This window comes from Homo sapiens, chromosome 7, assembly GCF_000001405.40.
Source record: "Homo sapiens chromosome 7, GRCh38.p14 Primary Assembly".
In the NCBI taxonomy this organism is placed as follows: domain Eukaryota; kingdom Metazoa; phylum Chordata; class Mammalia; order Primates; family Hominidae; genus Homo; species Homo sapiens.
Window position 1 is genome coordinate 30,609,114 of NC_000007.14, and position 24,233 is coordinate 30,633,346.

General features: G+C 38.5%; 1 protein-coding gene across 2 annotated transcripts in view; it reads left to right on the forward strand.

The window, feature by feature from the left end:
- The window catches only part of GARS1 (glycyl-tRNA synthetase 1), a 39,299-nt gene that overhangs the window by 14,379 nt on the left and 687 nt on the right, over window positions 1-24,233 (forward strand). For both annotated transcript variants that reach the window (NM_001316772.1, NM_002047.4), the window contains exons 7-16: window positions 472-617; window positions 2,983-3,132; window positions 6,783-6,945; window positions 8,001-8,165; window positions 12,280-12,387; window positions 13,204-13,349; window positions 17,121-17,206; window positions 19,447-19,556; window positions 22,335-22,428; window positions 23,134-23,324. In NM_001316772.1, the coding sequence (NP_001303701.1) occupies window positions 472-617; window positions 2,983-3,132; window positions 6,783-6,945; window positions 8,001-8,165; window positions 12,280-12,387; window positions 13,204-13,349; window positions 17,121-17,206; window positions 19,447-19,556; window positions 22,335-22,428; window positions 23,134-23,324 (1,359 nt within the window). The remainder of the gene's footprint in view (window positions 1-471; window positions 618-2,982; window positions 3,133-6,782; window positions 6,946-8,000; window positions 8,166-12,279; window positions 12,388-13,203; window positions 13,350-17,120; window positions 17,207-19,446; window positions 19,557-22,334; window positions 22,429-23,133; window positions 23,325-24,233) is intronic.

Sequence of the window (24,233 nt, forward strand, 5' to 3'; positions counted from 1 at the left end):
GGGAAAGGAAAGTTCAATGCACATTTAATTACTCCATTGAGGAGAGGGTGGTGGCTATTAATAGTATATTTGCTTGACTGGATCTTTAAAATACAGAGAAATGCAGAAATGCACCTTAAATATGTTCAGAGTAGTAAAATTCAGCTTTGAAAACTTATTTAGGTAATTTCAGATTCTTGCCAACCAATAACTATTATAATTGAATAAGAGGTATTTTGCTTTATCTTTCACTTTGAAACAGTGACTATATGAGTTTTAGGTCCCAGAAGGATATTTTTTTCTCTCTTGATAAATGGAAAGTGAATAAATTGGTTATGGTTTTAATGTGGGTGTCCTGAAGGTTAGGTTAATTGTGATGTTCCTGAATTTTGTGTGATTGTAGCAGTGGATGGCTAGGGTTATATATAATACTTTATATCTTATGCCTTGTTTTCTCTGTCTTTTACACTAATTTCTTTATATGTCTTTTAGCTTGATAACTATGGACAGCAAGAACTTGCGGATCTTTTTGTGAACTATAATGTAAAATCTCCCATTACTGGAAATGATCTATCCCCTCCAGTGTCTTTTAACTTAATGTTCAAGACTTTCATTGGGCCTGGAGGAAACATGCCTGGGTATGTATCACTTATTGTTTACCTGTTTATGTAATGAAGTTTTTAAAATTGCTTATATTAAAAGGTAAATATCAATGTTATGAAGGAAAAATTTTTAAAAAGTGATATACAGAAGTACAGATGAATGTATTATGGAGAAATAATGGCAGAAATAAATCTTTTAAAAAATTCTTTCTGAATATAATTTCTTTTTTGGCATATATGTATTTTTTTGGCATAAAATAAAGTCTCTGATCACTATATCTTCTAGTTATAGCTGCATAGGGTAGAAGGGACAGTTGAAGAATGGTTTTAAAAGCCGTTGAACTTATTGCTGAAGGATATTTTAGAAACCATTTAGTTTAGCATGCTACTGTCCAACGGAACTTTCTGCAGTGATGGAAATGTTCTGTAATGTGTGTTGTCCAGTATGATTAGCTACCAGCCACATTTGGCTCTTGAGCACTCATAATGGGTCCAGTTCTTCTGAGGCACTGAATTTTAAAATTTATTTCATCTTAATTGAAATTTAAATAGACATCTGCCTGGTGTCCTACCATATTGGACAGCATAGGTATAGCCTGTTGATTTGAAAGATGTGGTTTTCATGGATAAAGAATATCTGGTTAGTTTACAGTATGATTCAGAATTGGAATCTTTATCTTCTGATTCCTTGTCCACTGTTTAACAGACTTAGCCAGTGTTCCATTTCATAGCTTTAGATATTTTTCTATGATAGGGTAAGAGAGTAAGTTTTTCCTACATGAGCTAGATAGATCGTGTTTCCCAGAGTAGGGACTGAAGAATAAGAAAAATTAATTGTGACAAAATGTGTTGCAGTTAATTATTCTAATGAGACATCAGGTTGATTTGGAATATTTCATGGAAAGAGGCCAGTGGCAAGCCTTTCATTTTGGCCATATGTACAGAGTCATAAAATGAGACATAACCTGTGACCCAGACATTCCATTTCTGGGAATTGATCTAAGGAAATAATTCAGAAGGAAAGGAAATTATACTTAGAAGAAGTATATAAATTGAAAGTAGAAATAACCTATTCAGTAATTTGAGAGTGGTTAAACAAATTATGGTAAAGTGGATTAGTTTGGGATAATATTCTGTCACTATTAAATGTGAGAAATTTGTGCCATTATTTAGAAAATGGGAAGTATAAAATAGGTAATACATGATTTTATACATACTAACTGTAAATATATGTATAAACTTTACTTACATTTGGATGAAATCTGGAAAGGGCCATAAAAATCAAAAGAGTTGGTCTGTTAAGTAAGAAGAGGGTACAATTTTAGGGTTTTTAGCCCTTGGTTTTAAAGTTATTTTAGTAAAATACTTATTCTGAAGTAGGCCATTGGGAGCGTTTCCTTAGTGGATGTTTTGCACAGAATATCTTCTAGGAAATTGAGAGGGCAGTGGTTATAGTAGTGTATTTGCTTGACTATATCTTTAAAATACAGAGAAATGCGGAAGCCTCTGGTTGAAAATATAAAATACTGCAGATAATAAAATGATTTGAAAAACATTGAAAATTACCTGGCTTGGTGAGGTGATAGTGATAAGTGAGTGCTGATGTTAAATGTGAGCCTATACTGATTTCTTTTTAGCCCCTCAGTTAAGTTTTAATATGTGGGTTAACAGGGCTAAACATAGGCATGGGTATTATTTTCCAAAGGACCTAAGATTGTCATCTGCCTCCATGTACATGATGACTTAGAAGACATCAGGGGTTTAAGGGGCACTATGGGAGAGGTGGTGTTTTTTGTTTGTTTGTTTTGAGATGGAGTTTCGCTCTTGTTGCCCAGGCTGGAGTGCAATGGCGTGATCTCGGCTCACTGCAACCTCTGCCTCCCAGGTTCAAGCGATTCTCTTGCCTCAGCCTCCTGAGTAGCTGGGATTACAGGCATGTGCCACCACGCCTGGCTAATTTTGTGTTTTTAGTAGAGACAGGGTTTCTCCATGTTGGTCAGGCTGATCTCGAACTCCCAACCTCAGGTGATCCGCCCACTTCAGCCTCCCAAAGTGCTGGGATTACAGGTGTGAGCGACTGCGCGCGGCCTGAGGTGGTGTTTTTAAATTTATTTTTATTTCTGCTTTTTGAGAAGTGGGGTTTTGACTCACTGGTGTAATTAAATGAAATGGCATTGCCAAAGTAGTACTGCCACACTAATTACTTAATACATTTTCTAATACGTGCTATGAAAATGTTTGCTACCGAGGAAAATATTTCTAAAACTTCATTTTAGGGCCTGTTCAACTTTGTTGTGAAAATGGTATATTTAGGACTTTTAGGATTTGTATCTAGAATTTCAGGATTGTTGGAAAACATAATTTCTTTCTTTGTAACAGACTGACTTACTTAAATTTATAGGTACTTGAGACCAGAAACTGCACAGGGGATTTTCTTGAATTTCAAACGACTTTTGGAGTTCAACCAAGGAAAGTTGCCTTTTGCTGCTGCCCAGATTGGAAATTCTTTTAGAAATGAGATCTCCCCTCGATCTGGACTGATCAGAGTCAGGTACTGCTCAGGTTACTCTTACAAATTAGTGAATGACCTTGGCATTGCATTGAAAATGAAAGCTTGCTGTTTTGAAGCAATTCTGCTTCATAATCCTGATTATGAATTTATTTTTGTTTTCTCCAAAAATCATGTTTTACATTTGGAATCTCTAAATGTAATCTCCAGGATGACAGGCAGTTTTGAGTGACAAAAGTGAACTTGAAGGGAAAGGAAGGAGGGTGGAGACTGTCTTAAGAGTCTCACCTGCTCCAAAATTACCTTTTTCCTTGTTCATCGTATATTTTGAGGATGGTAATATCTTGATTGTCTAAACCAAGGCAATACTGGCAATGGTGATGTGTATAAAAGGGTGGGGTCGGGTGGGGGTAGGGTGAAAGTTGTGGCAGGAGGATTGTTCTAGATATCTAGGGCAGACAACATTGCTGAAGTTGGGGTGAGGATGTATCAGTAACCAACTGGAGTTCTGGAAACAACCTCCGTCCAGGTATTTGGGGGGCCTATATGACAGAAAGGCCAGCAAGCAAGCTTACCCTCATCACTCACTTGGCCTCTATTCAAATAGCCTACTTTTGTCTGATCTATCCAGGGATGTGTGGGAAGGCATATTGGGGCTGGTGAGTTCTATATTTCTTTAGAAATTTATTATGACTCAGCTGTTTATGACTTAAGTTTTTTGTGATTTCTATACGTTATTCCTGGTATCATCTCTTAGAGTAATACATTCCATATAAAATACGAGGTGTAGCTAAACATAACTTTCTAAGGCCCCAAAGTGTTTTCCCAGCCCCAGCGCCCACCCATTTCCTGTCTTCTCTTCTTACTCACTGTAATTACAGACTTGGGTCATAACATAGCCCAGTCACTGACTCTGGATCAAAGCATCCACAGCACCTGCCTCATCTTGTTAGTTCCCATGATGCCATCTGGGAGAAGATGCCTATGTTCTGCGCAAACTGTATCTCTAGGCCCTACAGGTTTACGGTTTAGGAAGGAGGGACTTACAGAGGAAAGAATGTGCCCAACTTAGAGAAAGTTGGGGGAATGACCCCTCTGAGCTTTCATGTAAAAAGAGGAGGTCATCAGAAACTTTAGCCAGGTATGATGGCAATGACAAATTTGTCAGATTTGAGTCTTTGTTTTATTTCCCAGTGTCTGAGTGTTTTTGTTTTTTTGTTTTTCACCGTTTCAATATCTAGCAAGTATGCCTTCCCAAACTGAGGAAGCTGCGTAAGGCTGACCTTGTCTGAAGCCAGTGTTACGAAGAGGGTTTACACAGAGTAGCTATGGGAAGATTATTGAGAAGGACTGAGAAGTAAGGCAGTGTCTGGGGCCTGTGCAGTAAAAAAGTGGTGAGTAGGGAAACCAGCTTGGAACTTGGGAGTGATCCCAGGGGTTAACTGGTAGAAAGGCTCTGGGGCTTCTCAACAGTGGATTCTTTGGTCATTTTCACTTCAAAGTGTCATGTCTGAATTCTGGCTAGTTTTGTTATGTCCCTTGCAAGTTCCTGACCAGAAGTCCACTAGTTTTTTCATGAGTCAGCATCCTCCTGGCTTTTGTTCCATGGTAGGACTAGGATTGGTTTATTTAGTGTTCTGATTCTTCTTGATGGCAGAGTTCTCTGGTGATTAATCTTTGCATAGCTGTATTTCCTTTTGTCCTTTTGTTAGTTTAGAGGTATTAGATTGTTCATATGAAGATTTTTCTAAAATTTTATTTTATTTTGATTGACTTATCTGTCTTCCTAGCCTGTGTGTATTTTAGTTCTCTACAGTTTCAGGTACAGTTGCTGAACTGAGATACAGTTACTCAGAATTCTGATGATTCCTGCCTCCTATCTATGAGCTGAGATTATTGATGAGTAAATTTTGTATGATTTGTATGATTTCAAGTCACACAGTGTGGTGCTTTGATATGCTTATACATTGTGAAATGATTACCACAGTCAAGCTAATTAACATAATTATCACCTCACATAGTTACTTTTTTTTTTTTTAGTGGTGAGATCTACTTAACATCTACTCTTTGAGCGGATTTCAGGTATACAGTGAATCATTAACTATAGACACAGTGCTGAGATTTGTGACAGAACAGATGGAAAGACTTTGGCAGCAGCATTTTGGAGATTCTAGGCAGGGCCCGTAATTTATCCTGTCCCACATTGTAGATGTTCAGTTGCTGTCAGCCCAATTATAAGCTATGTGAGGACAAACACCATGTTTGTTTCTCTCACATTTATATGGGCACAGAAGATGTTTCCTAGTTGTTGAAAGACAACTAAAACATAGGTGCAGCAGGACCAAATAAGAGACACTATTAAAAAATAAAATTTAAAAATTAAACCTCTTGGCCGGGCGCAGTGGCTCACGCCTGTAATCCCAGCACTTTGGGAGGCAGAGGCGGGCGGATCATGAGGTTCAGGAGATTGAGGCCATCCTGGCTAACACAGTGAAACCCTGCCTCTACTAAAAATACAAAAAATTAGCCGGGCGTGGTGGCGGGCGCCTGTAGTCCCAGCTACTCGGGAGGCTGAGGCAGGAGAATGGCGTGAACCCGGGAGGCGGAGCTTGCAGTGAGCCGAGATCGCGCCACTGCACTCCAGCCTGGGCGAGCGAGACTCCGTCTCAAAAAAAAAAAAAAAAAAATTAAACCTCTTTTGCAGTGTATTTCATGTATTTTTAGGATCCATTTAAGCAATTTTACATTACTCGTAAAACATCTGAGATAATCATGGAAGCACACCAGAAAATGTGATTTTTCTTGAAAGAAGAGAGATTGATTTTGACTCATAAAATTAACTTGAAACACTTCTCCCGCAAATAGCTACTAAATTGCATTCAGAGAAATCTCTTTGGGAAACCATTACTATGTGCACTTCATCGTTAGGTAATTAGCTTGATGTTAGCTTGTTCAATTCATGCCTTATATCCTTTGCCTTGAATAACACTTTATTTAAGAAGCTCTTGCTCCAAAGAAACCAACTGTATGATGCCATTATCAGTCATTTACTTTTTTGTAGCAGTAAAAAAGAAGAAATCAAACTGCTATGAAAGCTAAAGAACCATTTCATTTCGCTTTTAATTTCCCATTCTTTGAAATGGGATGAAGAAACTTCATTTAGTGTATACTTATAAAGACTTGCTAATGCTTTAAGGAAAACCATTTTATCTGCATGTCACTATTCAATATCTTATTTCTTATTTTTCATGTGATTTTTGCGTATGTTTTCCTAATTTAAAAAACTATATTAATCTGCCTTTAACAAGTTATTTTCAGTTAAAAGTAATAATCTTTTTGGATGTAGCTGGAGGGAAGGAATTAATACTTCAGAGAAGTTAGATCATGTTTATTTTAAATAGTGAGTAATAAAATTTTCATTAATGTGTTTAAAAATAACCTTCACATGTACCCCATAAATTTGTACAAATATAATACATCAAAAAAATAAAAATAACAACTACCCAGACAAATTTAATTCAAAATTTTTTTGGCCATTCCCTTAGGAAACCAACTTTCTGTTTAGTGAAAAAGACCACTATAGTATGGAGCCTTTATCACTAGAATGCAGTTGAAAATAGAGGCCTTGTTTTTTGTTTGTTTGTTTTTTGTAGTTAAATATGCAGGTTTATCGCTTACGTTTTTGCTTTCAGAGAATTCACAATGGCAGAAATTGAGCACTTTGTAGATCCCAGTGAGAAAGACCACCCCAAGTTCCAGAATGTGGCAGACCTTCACCTTTATTTGTATTCAGCAAAAGCCCAGGTCAGCGGACAGTCCGCTCGGAAAATGCGCCTGGGAGATGCTGTTGAACAGGTAGGATTCTGGAGGTAACTTAACTTAGATTGTGCCTGTTCAGGGTTTGCAGCAATTAGCAAATTCTATGTGTTCTGGGTGACAAGATATTTTATTTTGGCAGTCATTTGCTTTTTTACAGTACTTGGTTTTGTACAGAATTTGTTATACAGTATTATTATAGTAAGAGAAAAATCACCTGAACATCTCAATTTGTGGGCCTTGGGGCTAGCATGAAAAAAAATGTTTAGCAGAGCACTTGGAAAATAGATCTTGGTTTGCATTGTGCCTCACCAATCTGACTCAACAGTATGTACTACTTTGGGGGAGACAGCATTGGACCCACAGAAAGCAAGCCATCTGGGTTTCAGACTCTTCTGTATTACCCATAGCAGTGGAATAAGGCCTTGCATATAAGCACTTTGTAAATATTTGCCTGGAGAAGTGAGTGCGTGAAAACTTGCCAACAGTAGCTGCTGTCCACTAGTGGAATGAGTTGCCTCAGGGAGCAGTGAGCTTCCTGGCCCTGAAAATACTCCTGGCAAGGTTGGACGATAGCTTGTCAGCCACTTTGCAGAGAAGACCTCTGCAGTGTATGGAGATGGGGCTAGATGTTTTCTAAGGTCCTTGCAAACACTAAAATGATTACGTGTACTCTACGGGGTTCACAAATTTCAGTGGGTAAGGATACATTAAAATCCCCTCAACGTGTCATTACTTTGGTTAATTCAGAGGGGAATGTCTTTGCCATTCTTTAGTGTCAATTATGAATATTGTTTTTAGTACTGTAGATTTAGAGGTATGAGGTACTGGGCTGAATTTTTGCTGACCCAGTAAGTATGTTGGACAGATTTTGAATAACTCCATTATCATCATCTTGACATTAACCCATTAAAAAATAACCAAGATCTCATTCTGAGTATTTGAAATTGTTTTGAAAGCAAGATAAAATAGTTTGTGTTGGGTGTCAAATATTTTTCAGTAGAGTGAGTCAATGGAAACCGATATCTTGGCTTTGAAGAGTATTAATGTGTGTTTTCTTTTCTTCCTCCATGCTTGCTTATTGGTTGGTTTAGGGTGTGATTAATAACACAGTATTAGGCTATTTCATTGGCCGCATCTACCTCTACCTCACGAAGGTTGGAATATCTCCAGATAAACTCCGCTTCCGGCAGCACATGGAGAATGAGATGGCCCATTATGCCTGTGACTGTTGGGATGCAGAATCCAAAACATCCTACGTAAGTGGAGTGCTGTTTACCATGTGATTTTCACATTGTTAACTTAGAAGCACAGGTACCAAATGAATTTTTGTGCACTTTATGTCACAGAGGAACAAAGGGAAAAGAAAAGAGATCTTTTCCTGAGCAAAACAGAAAAAGCAGTTGCCTCCTGCCTTTTTATAAGTGTCCTAAGGAGCTCGTTGTAGTCTTAGATAGCTGAGAGACAGAGTTAGTGTATGATGGGACAGTGCGGATGTGTACACTGCTGTACAGTGTATTGGCAGCATTACTGGCAATATCCTGGAGTGGATCTAAGACACATTGGCCTCTCCTTCCTGGCAAGAGTCCCAGCAAACATTGGAAATGGTGGAGAGGTTGAATAAAGAAAGTCATAGTGCTCTTAGCTCAATGAGCTATGTAGTAGCTTTGGGGAATATACTAGTTGATTCTGATCTCTGGCTTAAGAACTACCTTCCTCAAATGTTATGTATTTAACTCAAAATTCACAGACGATCTCCAGGTACCCTCCTGCCCCTGTGCCCTGTCACCCCTCCAGCCTCCACCACCAAACATGAACATCAGTATTGAAGCGGAGGGACGAAAGGCATTTGCATATAGGAGATGCTGTCTATATTGGTGGCAGGAGGAAATGTGGCATCTAAAACAAGGCTGAGAGTCTTTTGGCATTTCTCTTATTGGGTGTTAGAGAGGCTTCCTCGCCTACATAGAAAGAGACTTTAGTCCAGGGGTCACTGGTTCCAGTATACCCTTGGTTCAGTTTTTACTTTTCAGAATGGCTTTCTTTTTATGGATTTTTAAAAATTAAAAATCAAAATTAGTCATATTTTAAAAAGTAATGACTACTTTTTTTAAAACAAAAAGGAAAAAATAATTCTGAAGACTATTATGTAGAAAATTAAACTTCCAGTTATATGCCTCTCCCCAGGTGTTTTATGTCTCTTCTCTGTATTGAGCAAACATTTTCTATAAAGGACCAGATGGTAAATATTTTTAGCTTTATGAGTCTCTGTCACATAACTTTGTTGTTTTTTACAGCTTGTAAAAAACAGCTTTTAAAAAATGTCCAAACTGGCTGGGTGTGGTGGCTCATGCTTGTAATCCTAGCACTTTGGGAGGCCGAGGTGGGAAGATTGCTTGAGCTCAGAAATTTGAGACCAGCCTGGGCAACATAGCAAGACCCTGTCTCTACAAAAAATACAAAAATTAGCCAGGTGTGATAGCACGCCCCTGTAGTTTCAGCTACTTGGGAGGCTGAGGTGGGAAGATCACATGAGCCCGGGAGGTTGAGGCTGTAGTGAGCCATGATTGCACCACTGAACTCAAGCCTGGGTGACAGAGTGAGGCCCTGTCTCAAACAAACAGACGAAAAAAGATCATGCTTAGCTCCATGGTCTTGGGTATGTCTGCCTTCTCTAGATGATTTTTCTACGTGTTCTAACACATGCATGCATAAATGCATAATAATATGCATATGTTTATAAATGGCTATTAATGATGTTGTTTTTAATATATTCTTTTTCCCTTGTGGAATTAGAAAGAATTACTGTAATCTGTTAGGATTTTCTTAGCAAGCTTGCTTGACATATGTCAAAATGATAATAGTAATTATTTTTAGGATTATGGGTGATCATTAATTTCTTTACACTTTTTAGATTTTCTGGGACTTCTTTTTATTTTCAGATCAAACCAATAAAATGTTTTTCCTTTTGTATGAGAAAAGATTATTACTTTTCTTTTTGTTTCATACCCAGCTCCTTCTCTTAGTTTGCTCTGATTCTGATTTCAGATTAAACCAGATGTTGTTCTTGCTGTCTCAGTTAAGTAATTTGCTTAAGTCTCACAGCCAGTGAGTGGTGAGGCTGGGATATAAACCTGGCTGTCTGACACCAGACTCATGCTCTTAACAGTTATGCTGTACTGCTTTATAAACCCCACTGGATGCCTGCTCGTCCTTATCTAAGTGCCATTGTGAGGGTTAGGGATCAGAAAATGGAAAGTCACTGGAAAACAGGGCTAAATGAAACAAGAAGCTCCAGAGTCCCAGAGGCTCTTAAGGAGAGGGGAGAACTCCCTTAGAGAGTTTAATACTTTTTGTGTACTTTATATATTTTTTTAATAAAAAAATTTACCGTTGCAGTTAATGCCACACCAATTCTCTTTCCATCCAGAGAAGTAACCACTATCCCAATGTTGTTATTCTCAGGCACGTTTTTGTAATTTTACCTTTCAGTACATAAATGTTAGTTGACATCTGCAGTAAATTATAACCACCAAACTATATGGTTAAGAACATAAGTATACTTAACCAGTCGACATGTATAGGGAATGTCAGATTGCCAGGTTACATGTTTTTAGGCTTTGTTCTTTAATTCCTTTTGTTGTTGTTTTGTGTTGGAGTTTCTGAGCTCATATGAGTTTTATATTTGCTTGCTTTATTACAGACACCCCATGTGATAACATGTGCTTGGAAAGCTTAGTAGTTTTTTCTTTTTTTCTTTTTTTTTTTTTTTTTTTGAGACAGAGTCTTACTCTGTCACCCAGGCTGGAGTGCAGTGGTGCACTCTCAGCTCACTGCAGCCTCTGCCTCCTGGGTTCAAGCGATTCTCCTGCCTCGGCCTCCCAAATAGCTGGGATTACAGATACATGGCACTGCACCCAGCTAATTTTTGTATTTTCATGAAGACAGGATTTCTCCGTGTTAGCCAGGCTGGTCTTGAACTTCTGACCTCAGGTGATCCACCCGCCTTAGCCTCCCAAAGTGCTGGGATTAGAGACACGAACCACTGTGTCTGGCCAAGCTTAGTAGTTTTGATGGTTGAATTTCCCCAAACTCTTTGGATCAAGGGCAAAAAAAAAAAATGAATCTTCTTGAGAAGGACTAACTAGGTATCTACCAAAATAAGCTCTTTACAAACTCTTGTTCTTATTGAAATAACGGGTTCTTAAGAGTTTGTCATAGTTGGGGTTTCTATAAGAAAGCACCACATACAGAGTGGCTTATAAACAATGGACATTGATTTCTCACCGTTCTGGAGGCTGGAATTGAGAGATCAGGGTGCCAGCATCGTCTGATCCTTGTGAGGGCCCCATTCTCAGTCGCATACTGCCAACTTCTTGTTGTATCCTCACATGGTGAAAGAGGGCAAGAGAGCTCTCTGGGGTCCCAAATTCCAGTGATTAGGGCTCCATCCTCATGACCTAATCACCTCCCAAAGGCACCTCCTCCTAATACCATCACATTGGGAGTTAGGATTTCAATATACGAATTTTGTCAAGGACACAAGCATTCAATTCATTGCAGGTTCTTTGAAAATAATTTAAATTTTGCTTTTTAAAAGTATCTTATGTGTGTATTTATAAGAAAGGGAACCTGGCATCAATGTGATCATAATGCTCTTATATAATTTTATTGTGTGACCTGAACTTTACCCACTCTTATACTGAGTTTTCTTTTGTTCAGTGAAGAAAGTGAATTGAATCCAAATGCCCACATTTATGGCCAGCTGAAGTATGTGTTTAGTCAGCCATCTGATATCAAGTTGTGAGAACACTAGGTACTTCATCTAAAGAATAGTGGTTTCTGCCAAATTCATTTTGATTTCTGTTCACAAATTTGAACCAAATTTACAGGCTTTGTCTAGGTTCACATTTAATTTCCATAATTAAATTCCAGAATATGTTAGTTTACCCCACAGACTCAGTATAACAATATAAATCCATCCAGAAAGGAAGACTACTTTGTGTACAGTGTGAATTATATATTTTTTTCTTTCTTTTTTTTTTTTTTTTTAAGATAGGGTCTCACTGTGTTGCCCAGATTGGTCTCAAACTCCTGGCCTCAAGTGATCCTTCCACCTCAGCGTCCCAAGTACCTGGGATTACAGGCATGAGCCATCACACCCAGATCAGTGTGAATTATATTTTATAGGCTTATTAGCTGCCTGATATATGAGGCTATTCCCATTTCAAATATTTATGAAATTTGAATGAAGATTATATCATCGAATTATCATTGAATATATGAAAGGTTTATAATCTGCATGCATTTGTGAATGAACCCAATATAAGTAATAATAAGTAAGTAATGTTTTTATTGATTATATCTTTTTAGGGTTGGATTGAGATTGTTGGATGTGCTGATCGTTCCTGTTATGACCTCTCCTGTCATGCACGAGCCACCAAAGTCCCACTTGTAGCTGAGAAACCTCTGAAAGAACCCATATCCTTTCTGGTCACTCCAAAAACTCAGGATTCACATGTGAACATCTTGCTAATGAATAAGTCCAAGTCTTTACCTTGTTCTATGGATAAATGGAGATGTTTTAGACACTGTAGTAACGCTTGTTTAAACCTATTATTTTACCTATCCCTTTGTTCCTTTCCTATTCTCTGTACTTGTAGTCTGACGTGTGCCCACTCAATGTTTGGCCTTTAAAAGAAGCATATTTAGAAAAATGCTCTGAATATCTTTCAGAACGTTAATAGTTTTTCTCAGCTGTTTCCAAAACGCACTTCACACCTGCACCTACCTACGTGCTCTTTAAATAAAGGGTACCTGGTGAAAGCTTTTTCCATTAAAAGATGAGTGCCATTTGATAGTAGCTGAAATAATAATTTAGCTCACTTGGTCTGAAAATCAGCAAAATAGAAATTTTCTTTCTTTAGTAGGCAGTGAAGTTATGAGCTGATTTCTTAGGGGTAGGTCAGTGACAGGAAATAGATCTTGTTTTGAGCATTTTAGAAATACTTATCAGAAGTTCTTATGCTATGGGTTGGGTCATTGCTGATTAGATAATATCTCTTTTTTCTCACTGTAACTGGAAAAGTTTCTATTGATGGTGTTAATTTTGGATGAGAGTTGTCTGAATGATTTTGTGGACAGGTGTTTCATCTTGCCTTAAAATCAGCATAAACAGGATCTGGAGTACTGATAGAGAGCTGGCATGGTTTTAAGTTGATGATTGATTGTTCTCAGGCTCATTTTCTGAAATACTGAGGCAGTGCTGTAGTTTTGGATTCCTTGACTACTTCATACAAAACAGTCAATGTTGTTCAGTTTGAACCCAGTAAGGGAGCAATTGGTAAGGCATATAAGAAGGATGCAAAACTGGTGATGGAGTATCTTGCCATTTGTGATGAGTGCTACATTACAGAAATGGAGATGCTGCTGAATGAGAAAGGGTAAGATATCAGATGTTTACTCTTCCATGGGCTCCAGTCAGTTGTGTCATCTGCCAGGTTCTGAAAGGATGAGATTAATTTCTTAAGATTTTTTGCAGGTAAGTACTGTATCTTGGCTGCATTTAAAAGACTGTCTTTGCCGAGATTTTGGCATTATAGCCTGAAAAAAGATTTGAAATAGAATATACTTTTTTTTTTTCCTAGTAACTGTCTTAAACAAAGAGACTTGTCCAGCCAGGCTGAGGAAGGAAGGGTTAGAAACTACATCTACTATCTCTCAGGTCACTTCTCTCTCCTTTTTGGAGGTTTAGAATACTCTCTGTAATTGTTTAAGCATGAATATAAACAATAGAGAAGGCCGGGCACAGTGGCTCATGGCTGTAATCCCAGCACTTTGGGAGGCTGAGGTGGGCAGATCACGAGGTCAGGAGATCGAGACCATCCTGGCTAACACAGTGAAACCCCGTCTCTACTAAAAATACAAAAAAATTGTCCGGGCATGGTGGCGGGCGCCTGTAGTCCCAGCTACTCAGGAGGCTGAGGCAGGAGAATGGCGTGAACCTGGGAGGCGGAGCTTGCAGTGAGCCACCATCGTGCCACTGCACTCCAGCCTGGGCAACAGAGTGAGACTCCGTCTCAAAAAAAAAAAAACAAAAAAAAAAAATAGAGAAAAGCCTTTAAAGAAATACAACAAAATCCAGCACTGAACAGTGTAAAACTTACAATATCCAGCAAACAATAAAAATTATTATATATATGAAAAAGCAGGAAAATGAGAAGTAAAGTCAGTCAAAAGAAACACCCAGAAAAAACAAACATGATGCAGTAAGTACATAAGGATGTTAAAGCACTTATTATAAATATGCTTCATGTACTCAAGGGTGTAAAGGAAAACATTAACATGTGAGGTGAGAAATGGAAAAATATATGTGTAATATGGATATAAACACATGTTTTTTATATATATAAACAACATGAAACATTTAGAGGCAATATCTCAAATGAAAATGTCACTGGATGGGATTAACAGTAGATTAAACATTACAGAAGAAAGGTCATTGAACTTAAAGACATAGCAACTATCCAAAATGAAGCATAGAAAAAAATGAGACTGGGAAAAAGATGTCCAGTGGGACAATATCAGGCAGTCTAATGCATGTGTAATTGAGAGTCCTAGAGAGGGTGTATAGAAAAAATATTATACAGTAGCTAGAAAATTTACAAATTTGATGAAAACGCTAAAACTACAGATTCAAGAAGCTTAGCCCCAAGCAGGATAAACACGAAGATGACCACATGAAGACCCGTGAGAATCAAATAGCTAAAAACCAGGGATGAAGAGAAGAACCTTTAAAGCAGCTAGTGGGGAAAAAGACTCATCACATAAAAGCAAACAAAGATAAGAATGATTAGAATTCATATCAAAAACTGCGCGGATCACAATATAATGGAATGAAATCTTTTAAAGTGCTTTAAGACAAAATTCCTACACCCAGCAAAAATATCTTTCAAAAATGAAGAGGAAGTACTTTAAGACCAAGCTTGTTCAACCTGCGGCCTGCAGGCTGCATGTGGCCCAGGATGGCTTTTGATGCTGCCCAACACAAATTCGTAAACTTTCAAAAAACATTATGAGGTTTTTTTGCATTTTTTTTTTCTTAGCTCATCAGCTGTGGTTAGTGTTAGTGTATTTTATGTGCAGTCCGAGACAGTTCTTTCTAGTGTGGCCCAGGGAAGCCAAAAGATTGAACACCTCTGTTTTAGACAATCCGGGGCTCTGAGAGTGCATTGCCAGCAGACCTCCACTATGAGAATTGTTAAAGGCACTTCTTCAGGCAGAAGTATGAAAGTTTAGATGTACCCAGAGGACTTGAGAGATCTAGAAATGATAAATATGTGGGTAAATAGAAATGGCATTTTCTCTGTCATCTCTTAATTTCTTTAAAAGATAATGGAGTATTTAAAGTAATATGGAATTTATAACATGGAAGTAAAATGTATGCTATCAGTAGCACAAAGGGTGGGAGCAAAGAATTGGGAATATACTCTTGTGAGGTGTATACATTATATGTGAAATGGTGTAATATTACTTGAAGATAAACTATGATAAGTTAAAAAATGGATAGAATGAACTCTAGAGCAATCACCTGGAAAAAAAACACACACAAAAAAGGGGTGTAACTAATAAACCAATAGTGGAGATAAAGTAGAATAAGAAAAAATATTCCACAAGAAGATGGGAGAAAAGGAAAAGGAACAAAGAACAGATGGGACAAAGATGAACTCTTGCAAGTTGAAGATACCTGTTTCAGAAAAATTTAAAAACATTTCTCGTCTTCCAGAATTAACATCTATTTATACTAAAACAATATCAAATCCCATTAAAATGGACTAAGTTATATTACTAGTTAAATATCATTATCCATAAACACAGTTTGCTTTATTAATTATTCTCAAATAATGGCTGTCTCCTTGTCAATTACAACTCTTTTTTTTTTGAGATGGAGTCTCACTCTGTCACCTAGGCTGGAGTGCAGTGGCGTGATCTCAGCTCACTGCAACCTCTGCTTCCCAGGTTCAAGCAATTCTCCTGCCTCAGCCTCCCGAGTAGCTGGGACTACAGGTGTGCACCACCACGCCTAGCTAATTTTTTGTATTTTTAGTAGAGACGGGGTTTCACCTTGTTGACCAGGCTGGTCTTGAACTCCTGACCTCAGGTGATCCACCTACCTTGACCTCCCAAAGTGCTGGGATTACAGGTGTGAGCCACCTCGCCTGACCCAATTGCAACTCTTTTATAGCTGTTAACTATGATACACTTAGACTGTGCTCACAGAGAGAATGCATGTGACACTGTGTATGTAATGGAACCTTGAATGCATGCACACACAGACTTCAGACAGAATAGTAAAAACGGAAGAATTCAGTGAACACCAGTCAGATGAGGCATGAGATTATCACAGGTGGAAACTAGCAAAATACAGTTATAACATATGCCAACTATCCAGCTTCTGAGACAACCACATGAGGGCTCTCTATCCTAGCACTGAATTGCTTGGGAGGGAGGAGAAATCCAAATGGATATTCAAAATGTGAGGAAATACCTCCTAAGCTGAAATACAGGTATTACATGAAGCTCTTTATAAAGATGAATTCTTATAACCTGAAACTGAATGGGCATATCTCAGGACACAAATACATGGCAGCCAGTGATTTTGAGGGGGATAATATTTTATATTGCCATATGAAACAGAAACATTAAACTTCTTTTAAACTGATCTTCATCAACACAAATGTCCAAATTTATTTTGAAAATAGTGTGGGTATTGGATTGTAAAATTACTTCTGTAAGATGGCATGCTGGTTCATTTGTACATTTGTTGGGACAGTAATGAGAACCCTTGTGTTTTTACCAGCAGGCCTATTTCTGACAAAGTTGTTATTATTCTAAAACTGAATTTTCAAAAAGTTGTTTTTGGTTTTACCTTGATTCAAAACCAAAGGAATTTGTCATTAAGTCACTTGTGGAGTTTTATAAAACTAGTCAAAATTTGGTGTATGTCCTCAGAGTACTTTTTGGTGCCATTGTTAGACTAATGCTTAATTTGGTGTTTCTTATGAAATAATTTAAATTTGACATCACTTATTATATCTGGAGAGTTGATCAAGTTATAAAAAGAAAAAACAACTTAGCAATCTACAAAATTCCTTTAAATTAAGGCACAGGGTGCCTGTTTGAACTAATACAAAATGTGTTTTGTTTCTTCGTAGGGAATTCACAATTGAAACTGAAGGGAAAACATTTCAGTTAACAAAAGACATGATCAATGTGAAGAGATTCCAGAAAACACTATATGGTAAATTTGTAAAAATAATAAACAAAAAGTCACTGCTCCTTAAAGCTTTTGTTGTTGTTTGAGACAGGGTCTTGCTCTGTCACCCAGGCTGGAGTGCAGTGGCACAACCTCTGCCTCCCCGGCTCAAGCGTTCCTCCCTCCTGTCTCAGCCTCCGAATTAGCTGGGACTACAGGTGCAGGCTACCATATCCAACTAATTTTTGTATTTTTTGTAGAGATGAGGTTTTTGCCATGTTGCCCAGGCTGATCTTGAACTCCTAGGCTCAAGCAGTCCACCTGCCTTCGCGTCCCAAAGTGCTGAGATTACAGGCATGAGTGACCACGCCTGGCCCTCATTCCCTGTCTTCTTTGGCAAAATAACTTGTTAAAAAGTCATTTAGGGGCCGGGCGTGGTGGCTTACGCCTGTAATCCCAGCACTTTGGGAGGCCAAGGCGGGTAGATCACGAGGTCAGGAGTTCAAGATCAACCTGGCCAACATGGTGAAACCCCGTCTCTACTAAAAATACAAAAATTAGCTAGGCATGGAGACACGCACGTGTAATCCCAGCTACTCGGGAGGCTGAGGCAGGAGAATCCCTTGAACCCGGGAGGTGGAGGTTGGAGTGAGCCGAGATCACGCCATTGCACTCCAGCCTGGGCGACAGTGCAAGACTCCGTCTCAAAAAAAAAAAAAAAAGTAATTTAGACCAGTGATGTTGCATGCTTTTTTAAAAGTTAAGAAGATGTTTTTTTGTAGAACAAATTCTGTGAATTAGGCAATGAGTAATTTGGAGCACGTATGAAGGATGCTGAAGTTTATTTGTGGCTGAATTGAAATTCCTGGAAACGGAGTAGTAATGGGTGTTTGAGAAGCTACTGCCAGTGGAAAGAGTGAGCATACCTTTCCTTTTGTTCTTGGCTTGTCTTGTAGCCAGGCTTCAGTGAGCAGTGTTAGGAGTAAGCGGGGGCTTCTCCATCACACTCTGGGGCTTTTCCGTCACAGTCTGGGGCTTTATAGCCATGATCCTGGCAGCTGGTTCAGAGCTGCACATCACCATTACTCAGATACCACAGAAGGATGGGAGGAAAATGCCTTGATCATGTTTCTAAAGTATTAACTCTTTATCATAGACAAACAGGCTCTCTTTTCCCATATGTGTGTGAGTTTTGGTACCAATGATCTCATTTCCCAAAAAACATAAACTCTTCCAAAGTTATGACCAGTTATCTTAGACCTGGACATTGCTTAGCAGTGCTTCTTCCTTTCCACATAATAAGTAATAATTATCAGTATATTTCCTGTGTATACCACGGGTGTTGTCTTACCCACATGAAGAGCTGTGAGCCCCTGTAAGATGTCTTTGATGGAGTGCTGTTCTTTGAGCAAACTCTCCCCTAAGGGCGTCCTGACCCCAGAACCTTGGTGATACAATGCCAGTAATTTGGTTCTGAACAAGTTCTTATCAAGATAACAAGCTAAAAAGTTAAACAAATACAAACCATGTAATACTTTTTGCATGTAGGAATTGTTTTTGTGAATTTTGCCAGCTGTGTTAGATTTTAAATTCTAGCAAAATCTTATTAAAAGCCTTAGATTTTTTATGCTTTCTGGGTAGCCGAGGCAGGTAATAGAGATAAAGTGTAGCTGCTGCTATTCGTAGTTTGCTGACTGGTGAAGGAATATTCTAGTACCTCAGGTTTCATTTTTACACAGTATAAACAGAATTTGGTGAAAGGTTTTTTCACTCCAGCTTTCTCTTCAAAGGCATGTTTCCTATCAGCAAATAGTTTTTAGGTATGTTCTAGTTTCTTTGTTCTGATATACAGAGATAAAAATCCATCTAGAATAGAGATATTTTTAGTGCTAAGAATTTTTTTCTTTTCTTTTCTTTTTTTTTTTTTGAGATGAAGTCTCGCCCTTGCCTTCCAGGCTGGAGTGCAATGGCACGATCTTGGTTCACTGCAACCTCCGCCTCCTGGGTTCAAGCAATTCTCCTGCCTCAGCCTCCGGAGTAGCTGGGATTACACGCACCTGCCACCATACCCAGTTAATTTTTGTATTTTTAGTAGAGACGGGGTTTCACCATGTTGGTCAGGCTGGTCTCGAACTCCTGACCTCAGATGATCCACCTACCTCAGCCTCCCAAAATGCTGGGATTACAGGTGTGAGCCACCGCAGCTGGTGAATTGTTTAGAGAGAATCTGAAATGCATTATGTGGTATTTGAGAGAATGTTATTGAATTTCTATCTCTTTTTCAGTGGAAGAAGTTGTTCCGAATGTAATTGAACCTTCCTTCGGCCTGGGTAGGATCATGTATACGGTATTTGAACATACATTCCATGTACGAGAAGGAGATGAACAGAGAACAGTAAGTTGTTGTGTACAGTGTGCTGTTATAGTGTCAGAAAATAAAAATTTTCTGAATTACATTGTGAAGTACATTAATAAGACTCTAGAATGGTCAATTAGTTATTACTATAATCTAGTGCTATTAACACTCATCTTTGCTTAAGTATGTATAGACAAACCAGTTTCCTGTGTTATCTTATTTGAGCTTTAGGTTATTCTAGAAGCTATTGTTTTAGTTGCCTGGTGCTCTCTATTCTTAGACTGAACCTATTACTTTGGGGAACAATCTATATTATGTCAATGGAAGGAATGGTACTTTCTGGATATGCTGTGTTTCAGAAAATTGGGAAGGATGAGATAACTCCTAGAATTTAGCCAGACCACTAAGCTGTATCTGTACTCTGGTAAAGTATCAAAGGGAACCCTCTCAAACTGCATGAAATTGTCTGGGGTACTTTTGGGGTAAAGATGTGAATTCCTAGGTTCTACTCTGGAGATGCTGATTCACTAGGTCTGAGACCCAGGGATCTGGGGTTTTTTTAAAAAAAATAAGAATCCTGAGTGATTTCACTGTGAAAGCTTGACAGATCATAAATGGGATAATAGTTGTCTGGGGTATAGCCTTTCCTAGCATTCAAGTATTGCTGAAGATAGAAGTTTATAAGAAGTCTTCATCAGCTCCCACAAATTTTCTTTTCGGTCTGATGCTTCTGAATCACTGCTCCTTGCCTTCTTCCTCTTTATCTCCTTGCCTTACTTCACCATTTTTACCTCACCTCTGCCTGCAGAAGTTACACTCCTGGGCAGATTACTAGGAAAGCCAACCAGAAGAATGGCTAGAAAGGAGAGGTTGTATATGTCAGGTTAATTGAAAGAAACAGCGTCATCCACTTGGCCATTCTAAAGCTTGAGTGTACGTAATGTTAGACATCAACCGTGTGGTTCTTTCTAGGACATTTAACCTCAAAGAATGAACTAGTGAGTTCTCGGCACCAGTACTTTAGTCTGACACACTATTGTAATACATAGCTAATAAAGTTAGTATGGTACTCTCTGCCCTAAAGTTGCATCTTCATTTCCCAACCTTGAAGGAGCAGCCCTATTCATTCAACAGATTGTAAGAACCTGGGCTAGGCCCCAGGTGCGCAAACATAAGGCTTGGTTCTTTTTGAGAAATGATGACAAACATAACTGCATGTGTTCTTTTTAGATGTCAAGTCTGCTTCAAGCTTTGTCTGCTTATTTTTCTAATAAAAAGGTTTTAGAAAATCTTTTAGCTGTTCCTTTGAATCTAACAATATTAATATAACTAGAGCTTTAATAGAAATTTCGTAAGGGCTAAACAAGAATAAATTAGTCACAGTGTTTTATGAATTGCATGAATTCCCATCATGAAGAGAAATTTGATTAGGCTGTGGGAAGCCAAAAATGTTTCTAAATTATTAGCACCTAGTTCCTCAATCCATTTGCCTATAAATTTGGTATAAAAACATTGCTAGTGAAATTTTAAAAATTATTTTTCTATAAAGGCAGGTCCCTGTTACTCTCTTATATTAAATAGAAATATCACAAGATGGAGGAAGGGAATAGAATTCTGAACCTTCTGTGATGTGAGCAGCCATATTGGTGGAATACAGGCCTTACTTAGAGTGGGATATTCATTGCTTGGCAATAAAGGTTAATTGAACTTTGGGTGAGAGGCTAAACTGGAACCTGTGTCATTCATTATTTTTATGGGACAAATTTATTCTGTGTTTTTGCCTTCAAGTGAACCTTTTGTACAAGTATTAAGAACTGCCTTCAGTTCCCATTTCCAACCTAAAGTGGTTGATTGGTTTGCCTTCCACAGAATATTTTTATTTTCGCCTTTTTTTTTTTTTTTTTTTGGTCTCGCTTTGTTGCTCAGCTGGAGTGCAGTGGCACAATCTCAGCTGACTACAGCCTCAAACTTCTGGGCTCAAGCAATCCTCCTGCTTCAGCCTCCCAAGTAGCTGGGACCACAGGTGCGCCTCACAATGCCCAGCTAATTTTTTAGTTTTTGTAGAGATGGGGTCTTGCCATGTTGCCCTGGCTGGTCTTGAATTCCTGGGGTCAAGCAATTCTTCTGCCTCAGCCTCCCAAAGTGCTGGGATTACAGGCATGAGCCACTGTGTCCAGCCTTATTTTTGCTTTCTTTGATTTCTGAGTTACTCAGAAACTATTTCAGGGCAGTTTAAGAAGGCTGTACTTTTTAGTGTAGGTATATGGAACATCTTTTTTTGTTTTGTACTATTTCTTTTGGACATATGTTTGTGAGCTAATTAAACTTTTCTGTTTCACTTGGTCACTGAGGTTCATAGGTTTTTCTCTTAAAAGACAGAATGGGCTTTGGTTTGGGTCACTGCCACTTGTTTGAATATTTAGGTAGTCTCCACAGAAAGTCTTTTATGTGGAACCAAAAAATTACCGTCTTTTATATACAGTAGCTTTCAGAATGCTTTCACATCATTTGACTTTTTTAGTAACGGGCTTGTGAAGCAAGCAGAGCAGGTGGTAGAGACCTGCTTTTTAGGTGGAGAAACTAAGGTTCAGAAAGAGTTCATGACTTGGCCTAAATTCGGAGCTGAAACCAGGTGTTTCTGATGCTGGTTCTGCTTCTCTTTTGCCATACTGCTTTTCATGTCATGTTTTCTGGCATTTTGGTAATGACGTTATGCTTGAACACTTGCTGAATATTAACCTCTTTTGGTTTGGGATATTAGCATTTAGATATTTACAAATTAACATATTTGGATTTTTTTCTTTTTAAATCATCCAGTTCTTCAGTTTCCCTGCTGTAGTTGCTCCATTCAAATGTTCCGTCCTCCCACTGAGCCAAAACCAGGAGTTCATGCCATTTGTCAAGGAATTATGTAAGCAAATTCAATTGGGTAAACTCCATGGGAACACCATCAAGGAGACTGAATTTTAGGAAATGTATCATTTATTTCAATAAAAATATAGACTGAATAAAGAATATAAATGATTTTATAAAGAGTACATGATTTTAGCCTGTACTCTTATTTCTAAGCGAGAGGATATGCTTGCTCAGATGTTTTATTCTGGCATTTGAGTGAGGCAAGGTAGGACCCAAGAGTCAGATTTAAAAATTATTTACTTCTCATACTGACCTTGGTGCCAAGTTCATCGAGGGAACCTGAGTGGAGTGTAGCAACCATAATGGATCTACAGCCACAGAATCCACAGCCCTGAAAGGAATCCTGGTGGTCATCTGGCACATCCACTTATTTCAGAGCTGGGAAATGGGGAGAGTCCATTGACCTGCTTAGAGCCATAAAAATAGAGGTGGTGGAGTCAGGACTCACCTTCTGGCCTTGGCTCTTGGTCCCATATTTGTTCCCCCTATAGCTGTATCAGATGGAGGTATGAGTGAAGATTTGGATTCCCGCAAGGGATTTATTAAACTTTAGGGATATTTCTTTCTCTTGCAACTCAACTTGTTGCTTTCTTGTCTTGGTCCCATTTATAAGTCTCCTGAGCTTGTAAGACAGTAGTTAGATAACACTGGGCTTAACTCCATTGTTTTATTTTTAATTTACTTTGTTTATTTTGGATAGCGGAAGCCCTGACCAGGCATGGAGTATCTCACAAAGTAGACGATTCCTCTGGGTCAATCGGAAGGCGCTATGCCAGGACTGATGAGATTGGCGTGGCTTTTGGTGTCACCATTGACTTTGACACAGTGAACAAGACCCCCCACACTGCAACTCTGAGGGACCGTGACTCAATGCGGCAGATAAGAGCAGAGGTATCTGGCCTTCTCTTTGGCATTTTTAGCCTTAGAAATGTGTACTGCTTCTTACTGATTTGTGTTGGATTTTGATGTGTTTATGCTCCCTTTCCTTTTTTTTTCTTTTTAATTTTAATGAACGGCTTGTATCAGACAGAGCCCAGATTCTCAAGTCCCCCGGTTTAATTATGAAAATATCCATTAGCACTTCTCTAATATTTTATAAACATTTGTGTTGCTCCAGGCTTATTCTCCAGCAGTTTGCTTTTATACTTGTTTGTTTATTGGGCAAGAGAAATATGATCCTAAGAATTTGTTGCCATAGTTTTATTGGTAGGCTTTGGAGGGTTAGACATTTTAATGTTTTATTTTTACAGACGCGTATACATGTGTATGTATAAGCTTTTCCGTGTTCATATATTCAAAACAGTGAATCATGTTTCAGTAGTTTTGGTCAATAGGAAGGCAGTAATGGAGATGGTAGAAGCACAGAAGGAGAAGGATGAGTGGTAAGGGAAAGGAAAGAGTAGCTGCTTTAATTGACATCTGCCTGCCTAATTTATCACCTTTGAGCACATACATCAAGTGCCTGTTCTGTGCTTAGCTTGATACAGAAGTAATAGGGAAAACAGAAGCAAAAGACTGCTTTTTTTTCTGAAGGAGTTTATAGTCTAATCCAGAAGTCGTGAATTTCTAGCTTGACTTTTTAGAGACCATCTGGCTACTCTGGAGCTGTGTCCCCATCTGGGTGTGGTTCTCAAAAGTGTGGTCCCTAGACCAGCAGCATCAGTATCCCCTGGAAATGTATGAGATAAGCAAAACCTCCACCCCAGACCTACTGCATCATAAACTGGGGGTGGAGAGGCAGAGGGGGCAGGCAGAACTTTCTTAGTTTTAGCAAGACCTCCAGATGATTCTGACGTGCAC